The sequence below is a fragment of the Homo sapiens genome, chromosome 8, assembly GCF_000001405.40.
Source record: "Homo sapiens chromosome 8, GRCh38.p14 Primary Assembly".
Taxonomy (NCBI): domain Eukaryota; kingdom Metazoa; phylum Chordata; class Mammalia; order Primates; family Hominidae; genus Homo; species Homo sapiens.
In genome coordinates, this window is record NC_000008.11 from 58,232,415 (window position 1) to 58,246,967 (window position 14,553).

A 14,553-nucleotide genomic window follows, 5' to 3' on the forward strand; every position below is an offset into this window, starting at 1 on the left:
ATAGGTGGCTCAGTCTACATTTATTTTGGACCCTTAGTGTGGCATAAACCCATTAGTCCCCAAGACCCAGATATAAAGAAACAACAAACACAAAAGAAAATGTGTGCCCAATTGGCTCATAGCTTGCATCATAAAACATAATTCCTGAAAATTATATCTTCTGATGAGACATAGTGATATAAAATCATTTATATTTTACTTTAGTCTCTATGTGCTCATTTAGATGTTTTAGAATGTAGCATAGAGAAAAGATGCTCAGAAAAGCAAAGCTGTTTAACAATATTAAACCTGAACTGGTTTTCTCTCAGCTGGACTTTGAAGATGTCTCGTCATGGGCCCAATGTTCTCCCACCCTGTCAGTCTGTCTGACTACAGGCACTTAGCACAAGGAACAAATGGATGTATCCTTAATGGCTTCAACTACGCTTTGTTTTTTGTTTATTTTTAATTTTTCTATATTCATAAGAATCGGGCAATATTGTGTTTCTCCAATATTTGTTCCGATCCTATTGATTTTTACTGTTTCACTCTTATTTGACCTTTGTTAATTGGAAACTGCAGTTAGTTTCTGTTGACTAAACAGCTACTAATGCTATGCCTGGTGCAGAGTAGCAGCCTGATTTTGGCAGGATGCAGTGTTGTGTGGCTGAATCTCTCAGCTGTGGAAAACCACTTTGAACTCTGAGACAGGAATTGGCGTTTCTGCTCAAAAGATTATAAGGGTCACCTGGATCCCTGATGAGGATAGTTTTTAGTTTACTAAGAACCAAGTGGCCTTGACTCTACAACAAAAACCGAGGCACAATCAAGGCCACAATCTGAATGATTCAAATAGCACTTTAAGGAGTTCCAAGAATTAAATAAAGGAAATAAAAATAAAGCCCCTGGCCCACCTCCCAGAGAAACCCTGAAGACACATTAAATAATAACTGTGAATGCTTTACATCACATAGGAGGCAAAAAATTTTTTATCTGAAGTGTGAGTCCAATTTTTCTTATTTGTAATCATCATGCAGATTACATGATAATTATACTTTAGCTCTGTTGGACTTTGTGATGATTGTTCTTAATTTATCTATTTACAATGCATTTATTTTGCCCACACTTTCATACTATTTAAAATACTCAATGCAACATGTTCATATACTTATTTATTTAACAGATATTCAGTGAGTGCTAATATGTGCCAGCCACTGCTGCAATGAAAGCCAATTCCTTACCCTCAAGAAGTCTCCAGTCTAGTGGGAATGTGAGAAAATAAATCAGTAAAATAAAAACGTATCAGGCAGTGGTAAGTGCCAAGGAGAACAAAAGAGAGGGGAGCAATGTTAGACCAAGTAGCCAGGAAAGGACTCATCAAGAATGCAACTTTTGAGGTGACATCTGAAGGAAAGAGGGAGCAAGGCATGAAGTTACAGAGTTGGGGGCTTCCAGGAAGATGGAACAGCAAGTGAAGGAGGAGTTTGTGTGGAAAGGCAGGGAGGGGCTGTGAGGAGGCCATTGCAGGGGTAAAGGAAGCAGAGCAGAGGAACAGGAGTAAAGTCAAAGAGGTCACCCAGGTTGTAGAACACTGATGTATGATGGGAAGCCATTGAGTGCTCAGCCCCATAATACGACCTGACTCAGAGTATCATGGGATTACTGTGGCTGTCATGTTGTAGATGGTGTAGAAAGGGCTAGGGTGGCAGCAAAGAAACCTTGAAGAAATGACCACAGTGATCCAGGTAAAAAATGAAGGTGGTGCATGGCCCACAGTGTGAGCAACAACGTTGATGGGAAATTACTAGATTCCAAGTGTATTTTGCAGGGAAAAACTGACAAGATGGGCTGTTGGATTGGATGTGAGATATAAGAGAAGGGGATGAGGCAAAGCAAACCCCAGAGATTTTTACAGGAGCAATTGCAAGGCTGGTAATGGAGTTAAAGAAGAAGTAGGCTTGGTGAAATTCAGGAGTTCAGTTCTGGACAGGATATATTTGAGATGCTGAACAGCCGTCCGAGTAGACAGGTTGAGTAAGCAATTGAATATAGAAGTTTGGAATGCAAGGAAAAGATCTGAGCCATAGATATGAACTTAGGAGTCATTAGAAACAGATGTTATTTAGAGCCATGAGAATAGGTGAGATCTCAAAGGAAGAAGTGGAAATAGGGGGAAGCCCTGGAGTGCCCTGTCCTGAAGGGAGGAAGTGGAACCAGCACAGAAGACTAAGAAAGAGAGACTAGGAAAACCAGGCCTGTGTCCCCTCCTGGAGGCTGAATGAACAGCAAATTTCAAATAAGAGCAATCCACTGTGTCAACTTGCCAAGAGGCCCAGATGCCCACATTTAGCAGCTCAGAAATCATGACGATATTGAGGAGGAATTTCAGTAGCAACAGAGAGGCAAAATAGGTTCAAGGGAGAATGAGAGGTGGCAAATTGAAGCCTTTAACTGGAGACAATTGTTTTAAGGGATTTTTCAAAAAATAAAAGGGTGGTTGCTAGAGGAGGAAGTAAAGACAATTTTTTTTCTTATGAGATGAGAAATAACAAGTTTGTCAACTGCGTTAGTGTCCTGTGACTTCCATAGCAAATTACCACAAACTGGGTGGCTTACGAGAGAAATTTATTGTCTCCCTGTGAAGAAGGAATCAATGAAATCAACTATAACCTAACAGTAGTAGTAACAAAAATTTTAAAATCCTCTTAAAGTTGCTGCAAAGTGTGACCCCCCCACCACCTTACACTCAAGTTAAAAGGGAATATTAACAGCCTGTCTTCTCTCTGCGGACAGCGGACCTTATCTATACTCCCCAACTCCACATTCCTCAGAGTTTATTACAGACCTAGCGAGTTCCTGCACGGCTGCAGGGTCACAAGACCGGTAAGTTTAGGTTGCAAGACATGTTTCTCTCAAGATGTAAGAAATGTTGTAATGCTGCCTTTGTTTCTTGCTTCTGTAACTCGATTCCCGCTTCACATAATTCCTGCCTTAAGATGTTTAAAAGTAGGAAAAGCCCTTTATTCGGGGCTCAGACTTTCTGAACGTATGTCCGGCTGAGCTGGTGATCACCTTAATTTAATAAACTCTCCTGAAGCTTTTTCAGTCTCTGCAGTCTTTGATTGTCCCACACCATTTCGTCTGGATGCTGAAAGTCTAAAATCAGTTTCAGCAGGGCCCTGTTCCCCCAGAGGGAATAGTTGAAAATCTGTTCCTTGCCTCTTTCAACTTCTGGTGGTTGCCAATATTTATTGGCTTGTGGCCACATCACTCCAATCTCGGCCTCTGTGGTTACATTTCCTCTTTCCTTTGTGTCTATCTCAAATGTCCCTTTGTCTCTGTCTTATAAAGATGCATGTGATTACATTTAGGGCACATCTGGATAATCCAGGATTATCTCCACATCGAAAGATCCTTAACTTAATAATATCTACACAAACTCTTTTTCCAAATAAGGTAACACTCACAGGTCTGGGGGATTAGGGCGTGGACATATCTTTGGGAGCCATTATCAGTCCACCACATTAGCAGATGACAAGGATCTAACAGAGAGAATAAAATGATAATGCAGGAGAGGGGAGAATTACTGAAGCAATGCCCTTGAGAAGGGCAGAAGGGACTGGATCTAGTCAACAAAGTAGAGAGGTGAGCCATACCTTGGAGCATGGACAATTCATTTATAGTATTATTGGTAACATAATTTTATTCTTTAGTTTCAGAAGAATTTATCTAAAGTAAGTGTACACTCAGGTCTTTATTTGTATTAGTTCCCTATAGCTGCTTAACAAACTATTACAAATTTGGCAGTTTAAGGCCACAAAAAAAAATAAATTAAATATAAATAAATAAATATGAGAGGCATATATATGTTGTAACTCCCTTTACTGTTGCCATGAAGTATAATCTAATCACAGGGGGATATCCATAACTTTTGCCATATACTGTTGCTCAGGAGCAAATCACACGCCTGTCCATGTTCACGAGAGGAATTCCACAAGTTGTGAGCACCAGGAGGTGGAGTTCACTGGGGTTCTGTCCACCACATTAATGATAAAGGTCAAAAGTGGGTAAAATATATCAGATTCATAGATTTAGGTAATTCTTGCATTTTTTATCATTAAAAAAGAAAACAGACAAGGATACCTGTGTACGGCACTTGGGATTAAAGTAGGACTCTGCTTTTACACAATTTGAGTGTAACCTTAGAACAGAAAATGAATGAAGCAAGAAATCAGGAAGAGGTAGTTTAGAATTTTTAAAAATCAACAAGTTTCTCCCTCAAAAAGGTATATTTGGTTCACTTTTCTTATTCTAATCACATGCACAAGGATTGGTGTGCTCTAAATATTCTAATTGCATTGACATGAGAAAATAGCACTGGATTTTGTTGACAGGGTGTTAGGCACTTATTTTATTCACTGGCATCATGGTCAAATTACTCTGTCAAAGCCTCCATTTCTCTATCTGCAAATAGAGACAATAAAGTTTTCTATCCCAAGGCATTGTTGTGTGAATGAAATCAGACAATCCATTCGCAATGATCATCACAGCACCTGACAGGTAGTAAGAGCTCCATAAACATTATTACATTTATTATTATTATCCTAACTCAGTCTATGGCCAGAATTTGACAGACCCATAAAAATAAGAAAACATATGCAATAGGTTATGTGCCCAATTGATTGTTTTAACTGAACTTGTTGTTTGTTTATATTATCTTCCAAATAGCTCCCACATAAAAAGATCAAAGGGCACAACCATATAGTGGTTATCATGGAAAGTTCTGAATTTTGCTTGCTTTTGAATTCTGTTTTCTCCACTTCAAGCTGTGCAGCCTTGGAAAGGTTAACCTCCATGTGGCTCAGTTAACTTCCATGTAGCTGCCTGGTTATAAATTGAGGATAACTGTGGTATTCCACTCGGGGGTGTTTAAGATTACACGGGATAATTCACTGGGTCAAGCAATTAACCCAGTGCCTGGCCAAGGGCAAGTATTCAGTATACAGTAGCCAGAACAACAAATTAGTCCAACAAATAATAACCAAGCCCTTAGAAACATCAATAAGACAAGTGTTACCTATTTAATACATGTGGGTATTTTTCTGCGTGTTTCATTACTTGCTTCTGATTGTGAGGCAAGTCAGTATTGATATTCCAATTTGGGGATTAAGGACCAGTAATATAGTTTTTGGGATTTCAAGACCCATGAATTAAAAAAAAAAAAAAAGTTTAGAGCCAGAAAAAAAAGTATTTTATTTTGTTAAGCAAGAAAAAAAATCAGTTTTATAGAATCAAAAAAGCAGAAAGAACATAGTCACAATGTAGAGATCAGCATTTCAAATTCAATGAATTTGGCTTCATGAAAACTAGTTTTTTTTTTTTTAAGGATGTGTGAAAACTGTATCTTGGACCAGTGCTGCTTGCAAAGCAGTGATTAGGAAATATGGGGCTATGATAAATGTAATTGCAAGAGCCAAAATATGGGTTGATAAGCAAACCTGTAGGGAGAATTTCACTTCTGCAGCTGCAAGCATGAGAGACAACCTGCCCCAGCTCTGCTCATGGAAACACTGGGAAGATGCCTGTGGTTGTGATTCGGAGCCTAAGTCACCAGAAGAAAGGTCCTGTGTAAATCGTGAGCCCAGTTACTCATAATTGTCATCACCATATTCATCTGTTACATTCTTTGTCATAGAGAGACATAGTCATCTTTGAAATTTTCTGGATGAATAACAACATATTGTTACTCATTTTTTCTTATCCCTCTCCTTTTTCATCACCTTTTTAACCTATTCAACCTTATCGTAACAAGTTCCTCAGGCCTGACTATACTCTAAAGTCTCCAAGACAGGCATTAGCATTTGAAAATCTGAAGTTGAGGTACACTCCAGGAACTTTCATATTTTAATGTACTTTTAGCAGCTTTGGAAAGTTAATGGGAACTGAATTATATTTAATGCTATTTAAAAGGAAAGTCCCTTTACTCACAAATATGTGCTTTATAATGAATTTCTAATCATAAGCACTTCAGCATCAAGTTTCTTCGCAATATGTATATAAGATTAATTTTTTGACAGCCCTTTGTAATTCACACTTTTACCAGAAGCAAAGGAGGCTCTGCAATAAGCCGTTTTCTTTCACTTCATTTTGTGCATAATGAGCCAGAGTCTCTAACATGATATCAGAGAGCCAGTCCAGGCTGAACAAAGAGAAAGAAAATGGAAAGACTGGATATTGTTTGTCTGAGAGGTGAAATGGGTGGAAGCATTAAGTGATGCTCTATCACTCTATCACATGAGGGGGGAGCCACGGCACATTTAGGCTTTCTCCTGAGCTAGGGCATTTCTTTGGACTCTTATTTCTTCATGGGAAATTTGAACTTTTGTGAAAAGGTGGAAACTTCATCTCACAAAGAAAATCTCATTATGAGAGTGAGGATTAAAGAGGCCTTTGCTCTCAAGGAGGAACACACTGTCTTTAGTTCACTGTTCAAAAATTTCCATCCAAATTTAAGATAAAAATGTACATCAGCAACACAAAGGTAGAGATGCTGTGAAGGGGAAGTGACAGAGGACCATTTAGAATTGCATTATCTGGCCAGGCGCGGTGGCTCACGCCTGTAATCCCAACACTTTGGGAGGCCCAGGCGGGCAGATCACCTGAGGTCAGGAGTTCGAGACCAGCCTGGCCAACATGGGGAAACCCCGTCTCTACTAAAAATACAAAACTTAGCCTGGTGTGGTGGCGGGTGCCTGTAATCCCAGCTACTCAAGAGTCTGAGGCAGGAGAATCGCTTGTTTCCAGGAGGCGGAGGTTACAGTGAGCTGAGATTGTGCCATTGCTCTCCAGCCTGGGTGACAGAGCGAGACTCCGCCCCCCATGCCCCCCCCCCCCACAAAAAAAATTGCATTACCTGAACTCAGGCACGTCTGCAACTGGGCCATCTACAGCAACAAATGGCAGTTCTTGAGAGGAAATCATGGAGACTGAAGGAATCAATGGTGATGAGAAAAGGGCTTTTTCCTCTCCTCAGCCTCCTGTAGCAATCTATGAATACCAGAAACAAATCTAGTAACTGTCAATTTTCTGAATTTAAACCCCAGTGAACCAGAGACCAAAGACACAAACTGTAGTGGAAATGAGGGAAAGAAAAAAGGGGACATGTTCAAGAGCTCTTTAAACTTCACCTTGTAGGTTTCTGTAAAGAAGATAAGAAAATATGACTGTGACTTAGTCATATTTCAGTGACTCAAAATGTCACTGAAAATAGTTGTTTATAATTACTTAGTAGTATTTTCTTTTCTTTTTAGCTTCAATTGCATAGGTACAGACTTCGACCAAAGATTAGGTTTAATAAAAGAGATAGAAAAACCACTTCCAGTTTTAGCTCTGACATGAAATGAGGTTAGAAGTCACCACTCTCATCCTTAACATAAGTAAAAATGGAACAAATGGAAAAGGAATGACCTTTCTTGGACTCATCAGAGAACTGAGGTTGCAAAGCAAACCCCTACTCTGAAATCTGAAAAGACAGGAGAATCTAGAGAGTCACACCTGAGATCTGCTTACCTACAGCAGAAGCCACAAGAGCCAGAAACTAGAAAGAACATTTAAATGAAAGCTTTGATAAATTGCTGGAGGCTGGTTGAGTATGGTCTAATGTGAGAGTGAGAAATTCCTGGGGGCAACAGTCTTGTGCGGGGTTGGGCCGGGGAGGACACTTCGATTCTTTAAGTCCAGGAACCTCACTAAGTTTTCACGGTAAAAACCCAAGAAAGCCCTTTGATGTGTCTAGCAGGGTGAAGGGAAGAGTAACAATGATGAAGTAAGTCAAGAGGTTTCTCTCTAACAAAGTCTACTCTCTAACAAAAAAAGACTTTCCCAGAGCTGAATACTTAACAAACATAAGAAAAGTTATTAGATTTCATTAATGATCAAGAAATATAATGTAAAAATGAGACACAATTTTTATCAAAATATATTGACAAAAATTTTAAAGCCTAACGAAATCAAGTGTTTATTGGGATGTTTGGTGAAGTTGGAACTCTCATCCTTTGAACAAATTTGTTAGTATTCAACTAAATATGTTCATGCCCTATAATTTTACTTCTGGGCATAAACTCTAGAGAAAAGTCTTACACATGTATATAGGAAGACCTATACAAGCATGTTGTGACTTTATTATTATTATTATTATTATTATTATTTTATTTAGTTACTTTTGAGACAGAGCCTCACCCAGGCTGGAGTGCAGCGGTGCCATCTCGGCTCACTGCAACCTCCGCCTCTGGTGTTCAAGTGATTCTTGTGCCTCAGCCTCCCAAGTAGCTGGGATTACAGGCACGTGCCACCATGCCCAGCTAATTTTTGTATTTTTAGCAGAGACAGGGTTTCACGATGCTGGCCAGGCTCGTCTCAAACACCTGACCTCAAAGGATCCACCTGCCTCGGCCTCCCAAAGTGTTGGGATTACAGGCATGAGCCACTGTGCCCAGCCAAAATTATTTTTAATAATAAAAACTCAGAAATAAATGAAGCCGTTTAAAATGAAAAAAATATAAAGACTCTGATAGGTTGAAAGTAAAGGGATAGAAATAGATACAACACTCTAATACTAATTTTTTTAAAAAAGACTGGAGTAGATATATTAATTTCAGATAAAGCAGACTTCAGAACACCAACAATTATCACAAATAAAGATAAGCATAATAAAGAGCTTACTTAGTGGCCGGGCGCGGTGGCTCACGCCTGTAATGCCAGCACTTTGGGAGGCCGAGGCGGGCGGATCACAAGGTCAGGAGAACGAGACCATTCTGGCTAACACGGTGAAACCCCGTCTCTACTAAAAATACAAAAAAAAAAAAAATTAGCCGGGCGTGGTGGCAGGCGCCTGTAGTCCCAGCTGTTCAGGAGGCTGAGGCAGGAGAATGGCGTGAACTCGGGAGGTGGAGCTTGCAGTGAGCCGAGATCGCGCCACTGCACTCCAGCCTGGGCGACAGAGCCAGACTCCGTCTCAAAAAAAAAAAAAAAAAAATTGTTCAATGCATGCCCTTCAACAGATTGAATGGTGCCTACCCACACTGGGGAGGACAATTGCTTTACTCAGTCCATCAACTCAAATGCTAGTGTCTTCTGGAAGTACCCTCACAGAATAACTTCATAGTGGAGAACACTGAAAAACACTGCTTGAACCAGGTGATGAAGGTAAAAACCAGCAGTGATGAGTTGTCTTGATACTATGTATCTGTGGTATGATATGAAGAAAATGGTATTTCAGCGCTGTAGTCTTCCTCTCCAAAACATATAACCCGAGTCTAATAAAAATAAAAATATCAGAAATATCTTAATTGAAGGACATTCTACAAAAATACCTGATTGGGACTCCTCAAAGCTGTCAAAGTCATCAAAAGCAAGGAAAGTCTGAGAAACTGTCACAGCCAAGAAAAAACTAAGAGGAGATGACACCTAAGTGTAACGTATGTCCTGGATGGAATCCGGGGATATAAAAGAGACATTAGGTAAAAACTGAGGAAATCTGAATGAAGTATGGACTTTAGTTAATAACATGTCCATACTGGTTGTTTTACTGTGACAAATGTACCATACTAAACTAGGATGTGAATAATAGGGTAAACTGAACACTATATATAGAGGAGCTCTCTGTACTATCTCCACAATTTTTTGTAATCTAAAACTGTTCTAAAAATAAATTTTATTTAAAAATAATAAGATACAATAATTTGATTTTCCGTTCTTCTTTCAAGCTTTGGAAGCAGTCTCAAAGGAGATATTAAGACTCACTAGAGAGCTAAGTTTGAGAGGTAAGTTTGTGGGCTTTTTTTGTAAGAACAGAGCCCCAGAGAAGCCACTCTCCAACCAACAAATCCTTCTCTGAAAGAGTTCATCAGTGAATACTACTCATAAGAACTTACTGTCCCAGAAGACAGGTAAGGAAATATCCACTACAGCAAATGAGTATGGTGTTTGAGTAAAGATAAAATGGATGGAATTTAGGATTATGTAGTCAAAGGGAATTGAAGTTAAAGCCACTTCCCAACTGTGGATTTATATAGCTCTTATAGAAGCAGCAACATGCCTAAAGTGATAGACACATGTGAATATTCAAAGAATGCAATCACTAGAGCCATATCTTCAAGTCATTATGGGTCCAAACAACAGCTTTTGTCTTCTGTGAGAACCAGAAATATTATCTGGAAACATCTGATTTTTAATTCAGAAGCTGTAGCTGCCAGAAAAAACTAGGGGACGCCCATGTGGGAACTATATAACTGTGTATCTTTTAAGTGATATCTTTAAAGCAATTTTTATTCTCTTTAAACGGTCCTGAAATCTTATTGCTAGTGTTTCTCCACTTAAATATTTTGACATTATTTTTTCATCATTTACTATGTACATTTATGTACAAATCTAAATTTAGTCTTTTACATTTATTAGCTGTTGTCTTTTGAAAGATAAATTAGATCAATATATTCTTCCCTGCACTTCATCTTTCATAACACAGTTCAAGAATTTCATTGAGCTAAAAAAAAACCTAACGTAAAAGTAAAATTATTGTTGAATTGAACAAACATAGATAATATAACATGTGTTTATCTACTTGTAATTCTCCACTTAGAGGGATTTTCACTTTTTTTTATGTTTGCTCTTTATTTCATCACTTTGTGTCATTTTGTTGCCTGCCTACCTCCCTTACCAAGATAATTTCAAATTTAATCATTCTCACAATAATATATCTCAAAATTATTTAAATGCAAAAAGTAAAAGCAGCTGCACTGATGTGCAAGTGTTAAATCCCTCAGGTTCTGAGACTTGAACTGAGCATATATGATCTTAAAACAAAAATGTGCCTCAAGAACCAGCCCTTGATAAGTTGGGAAGTGTTACCACAGTGAGCGTCATCATGTCACTCTGTCCCACTTCTGCTCTTTTCATATTACCATCTGCTAACCTGAGATAGGCAAGCTATAGCCGAGTAGTCAAGAGTCAACTTTACCTTCTTTAAGAAAAAGTCCTCTAACGGCCTCAAAACATGACATGCAACACAGCCCCCTGGTGCTCCAAGTCCCTCCCGCAGCACTTCTTCCATTTCCCGAAGTTCCAAGCAGTAGTAAGTTATTTGCTCCCTGTAGGGTTTCATTTCCTCAGTTGTGTAAAGAAATCTGTGATTCTATGTGACAGTGAATAGAATTTAATCCTCTGTATTGAGCTGGATCCTTAAAAACTATAAGACTGTTTCATTTTTTCATTTATTATAATTGAAAGACAATTCTGAGGGAAAACATTCTGGAAAAAGAGATTTTTAAAGAATACCTTGGCTTCTTGTTAGGAGAGCTGTCCTTTTGCTTTCACGGCATTGCAAGAGAATCCCAGGGACCTTACTTAGCCATGCCAACTTGCTATTAAAAATTGAATCCCATTCTATTCAATTGGCACAAAAATCAAGCAGTCATTTGTTTTCTTAAATTGTTTCAGATTCATAAGAATAAGTTATCCAGATTTTCCTTCATTGAAGCTAATATTTCAAGGTTTTCTTTTTTTCCTACCCAGTGTTTTCCATGGATCCACTCTGCAATGGTATCAGTAGGAATTAAGCACACAGCAACAGAGACATACTGAACATATTGATTACCAAGTCAAATGGTTTCCCTGGCAACCGTAACCCAATGAAATCCCTCAGAGCTTCCTTCCTTCCACACACGATTTTTTTTTTCTAATGATTTCAGGCATCACAGATGGCAGAAACAGATACAAAAGTACCTGTTCCAAATATGTTGCTACAAAAATAAAGCTGATTCAGCAAGAGATGTTCTGCTGTGTTCTGTGGCTAGCTAACTTGTGTATTTTTTTGAATAATTTTGAAATGAGTCCATTCTCATGTGCATTGTAGTATGTGAATGTATTAGTTTTCTATTGCTGCTATAATAAATCACTACAAACTTCACGGCTTAAAATAACATAAATGTCTTATCTCACAGTTCTGCAGATCATAAGTCTGGCACAGGTCTCACTGGAATAAAATCAAGGTGTCAATAGAGCTATGTTCCATTGTGGTGACTTTAAGGGAGAATCCTTTGCCTTTTTCAGCTTCTAGGAGCTATTGGCATTCCTTGGCTCAGAGCGCCTTCTATTTTTAAGTTAGAAACATCACATCTCTCTCACCCTTCTTCTGTTGTCACATGCCAGCTGGGAAAGGTTCTTAAAAACTTGATCCTTCTGATGGCATTGGACCCATCTGAATAATCCAGAATAATCTCTACATCTCAAGGTCAGCACCATTAATCACAACTGTAAAGTCCGTTTGGCATGTAAGGTAACATATCCACATGTTCCAGGGATTAGGCCATGGATGTCTTTGCGAGGCCATTATTCTGCATACCACAATGAATGCATTGTCTAGCATATTTCCAAGAAAGGAAGATGTCTTTCAAAGTATTCATACACAATAGAGCATGCACTTTGAACTGATTCTTTTAAGTATTGGTGATTGTTTCACACTCATCTAAAGCAGAGACTGATAAACCTTATTTGTAGAGGGCTAGACCCTATGTATATTTGACATTGCTAACTATACAGTTTCTGTTACAAATATTCAACTCTGCCATTGTAGTATGAAAGCAGCCATTGACAGTACATAAATGAATGAGCTTGGCTGTGTTCCATAAAAATTTATACACAGAAACAGGCAGTGGGTCAGAGTCAGCCTGTTAGCTATAATTTGCCAATTTGTAAACTAGAGCTATGAAAGTGGGTTTCTTATCGAATATAAGCTTTCTTCAATATTATCAAATCTGTCTTGAGTATCAATGATAGGGCATAAGACCACAAAGAGCTAGAGGACAGAAGATCTACCCTCAAGGGGCTAAATATAATTGGAAAGGTGAAACATTTTTATTAAAACATAATAACGTAATATTTGATTCGTATGTTTAGTTGAATACATTATTTAACTCTCAAACGTATCATCTTTAAAAATTATATTATGAGAGTTCCACTTCTCATAATGAAAGACTATTTGGTATTGAACTACTTCCTACAGATGACAACAAATATACACTAAAAATAAAAATTTTTTAAAATATTTTTAAAATAAACAGCTATCTGTAGGTAGTGTAGAATGATCAACAGCACACAGAAAGTAGAGAGGAGTCCAGCTTTGAAAGACAAGAACTATTCTGATAGAAATTAGTGCTTATATGACTTTTTGCCTAAGGGCACATCCCCTCTGTGTGGCATAAAGCTGAAGAACTAAAGAACACATCTGGTCTTATTGGCTTAAATAGTCAGCGTACGGAGTTGGGAGATGTTACAGCGCATAGAGAATAAGTGAGAAATCCCAGAAATTAGTGATTCACAGGAGGAAAACTCTCAAAACTGCATATAACCTCTGTCCCCTTTTGGTTGAAGCCTGAATTTTGCATGCATGGAAGATGCACCCAGTTTCCCAGTGAAAAGCAACAGCTGAAAGATTAAAAGAACTGAGTATTTTCAGCTGCTGTTTATTCCAGGGGAGATAGAGATTGAAGTTTAATGCTAATAAAGTTGGCATCCTGCTAAAACAAAAATCTACGGTTATAAGGAAAAAAGATTCCAGAGTCTCAGTCTTTAGCAGTAAATGAATCATTAAGAATAACTAGTACACAATAAAAAAATTAATAGACACGAAAATAAACAGAAAAATGGGAGCACTAGTTAAGAGAAAGGTAGTATGTATGTAGTAACAGATTTCTAGATGACACAGATGTTAGAATTAGAAGGCAAGAATGTTAAAGTAAGTAAAATAACTATATTGGTGACTTAAAGGAGAACATGGTCATTATAAATGAACAGAAGGAGAAATCTGCAAACTAATGGAAACCATGAAAAGAGAACCAAGTGGATTATAGAAGATAAAAAGTAAAGTTTATGCAATTAAAAATATTACTGGATGGGCTTATCAGCTTATTAGAGATGGTACAAGAAAATGCCAGTGAACTTGAAGAAAAAGATGAAAGGAAGAAAAAAATTATTGAAAAAGATGTGAAGAGAGCTTTATGGCACAATAACAACTTGATTAACATATGTGCAACTGGAGTCCCAGAAGGATAAAAGGATGAAAATGGAATAAAACAAAATTTGGAGAAGTAATGACTATTAGGTTTTCAAATGGAGTGAAACAACACTATGCTAGATCCCAAGAAGCTCTGCAAACCCCAAGCATAAAAAAGAGAAAGGAAGGAAGGATGGAAGGAGGAAAGGAAGGAAAGGAAGGAAGGGAGAGAGGAAAGAAGGAAAGAAGGGAGGGAGGGAAGAGGGAAGGGAAGGGAAGGGAAGGCAGTCAAAACATCAGGGTTAAACTGTTGAAGACTGAAGAGTGAATTTTTTAAAAATCTAGAAAGCAGACAGAGAAAGATGACATATATATAAGGGAGCAATGATATGAATGATGGCTGACTTCCCAACAGAAACAGTGATGGCTGGAATACTATTTCTGGTAAAAATATAAAAGATAACATCAGAATAAAATAATTTTCAAATAAAGGAAAAGAAAGAAAAATTTTAACCCACAAACCTGCA

General features: G+C 38.1%; 1 long non-coding RNA gene across 1 annotated transcript in view; it reads right to left on the bottom strand.

Annotated features, from left to right (window-relative positions):
• The window catches only part of LOC107986945 (uncharacterized), a 52,355-nt gene extending 40,762 nt beyond the window's left edge, over positions 1 to 11,593 (bottom strand). Inside the window, exons 1-2 of the long non-coding RNA XR_007060915.1 lie at positions 11,311 to 11,593; positions 6,893 to 7,026 (exon numbers count right to left, since the gene is read on the bottom strand). This is a non-coding gene — a long non-coding RNA (uncharacterized LOC107986945). The remainder of the gene's footprint in view (positions 1 to 6,892; positions 7,027 to 11,310) is intronic.
• Between the last annotated feature and the right edge of the window lie 2,960 nt (positions 11,594 to 14,553).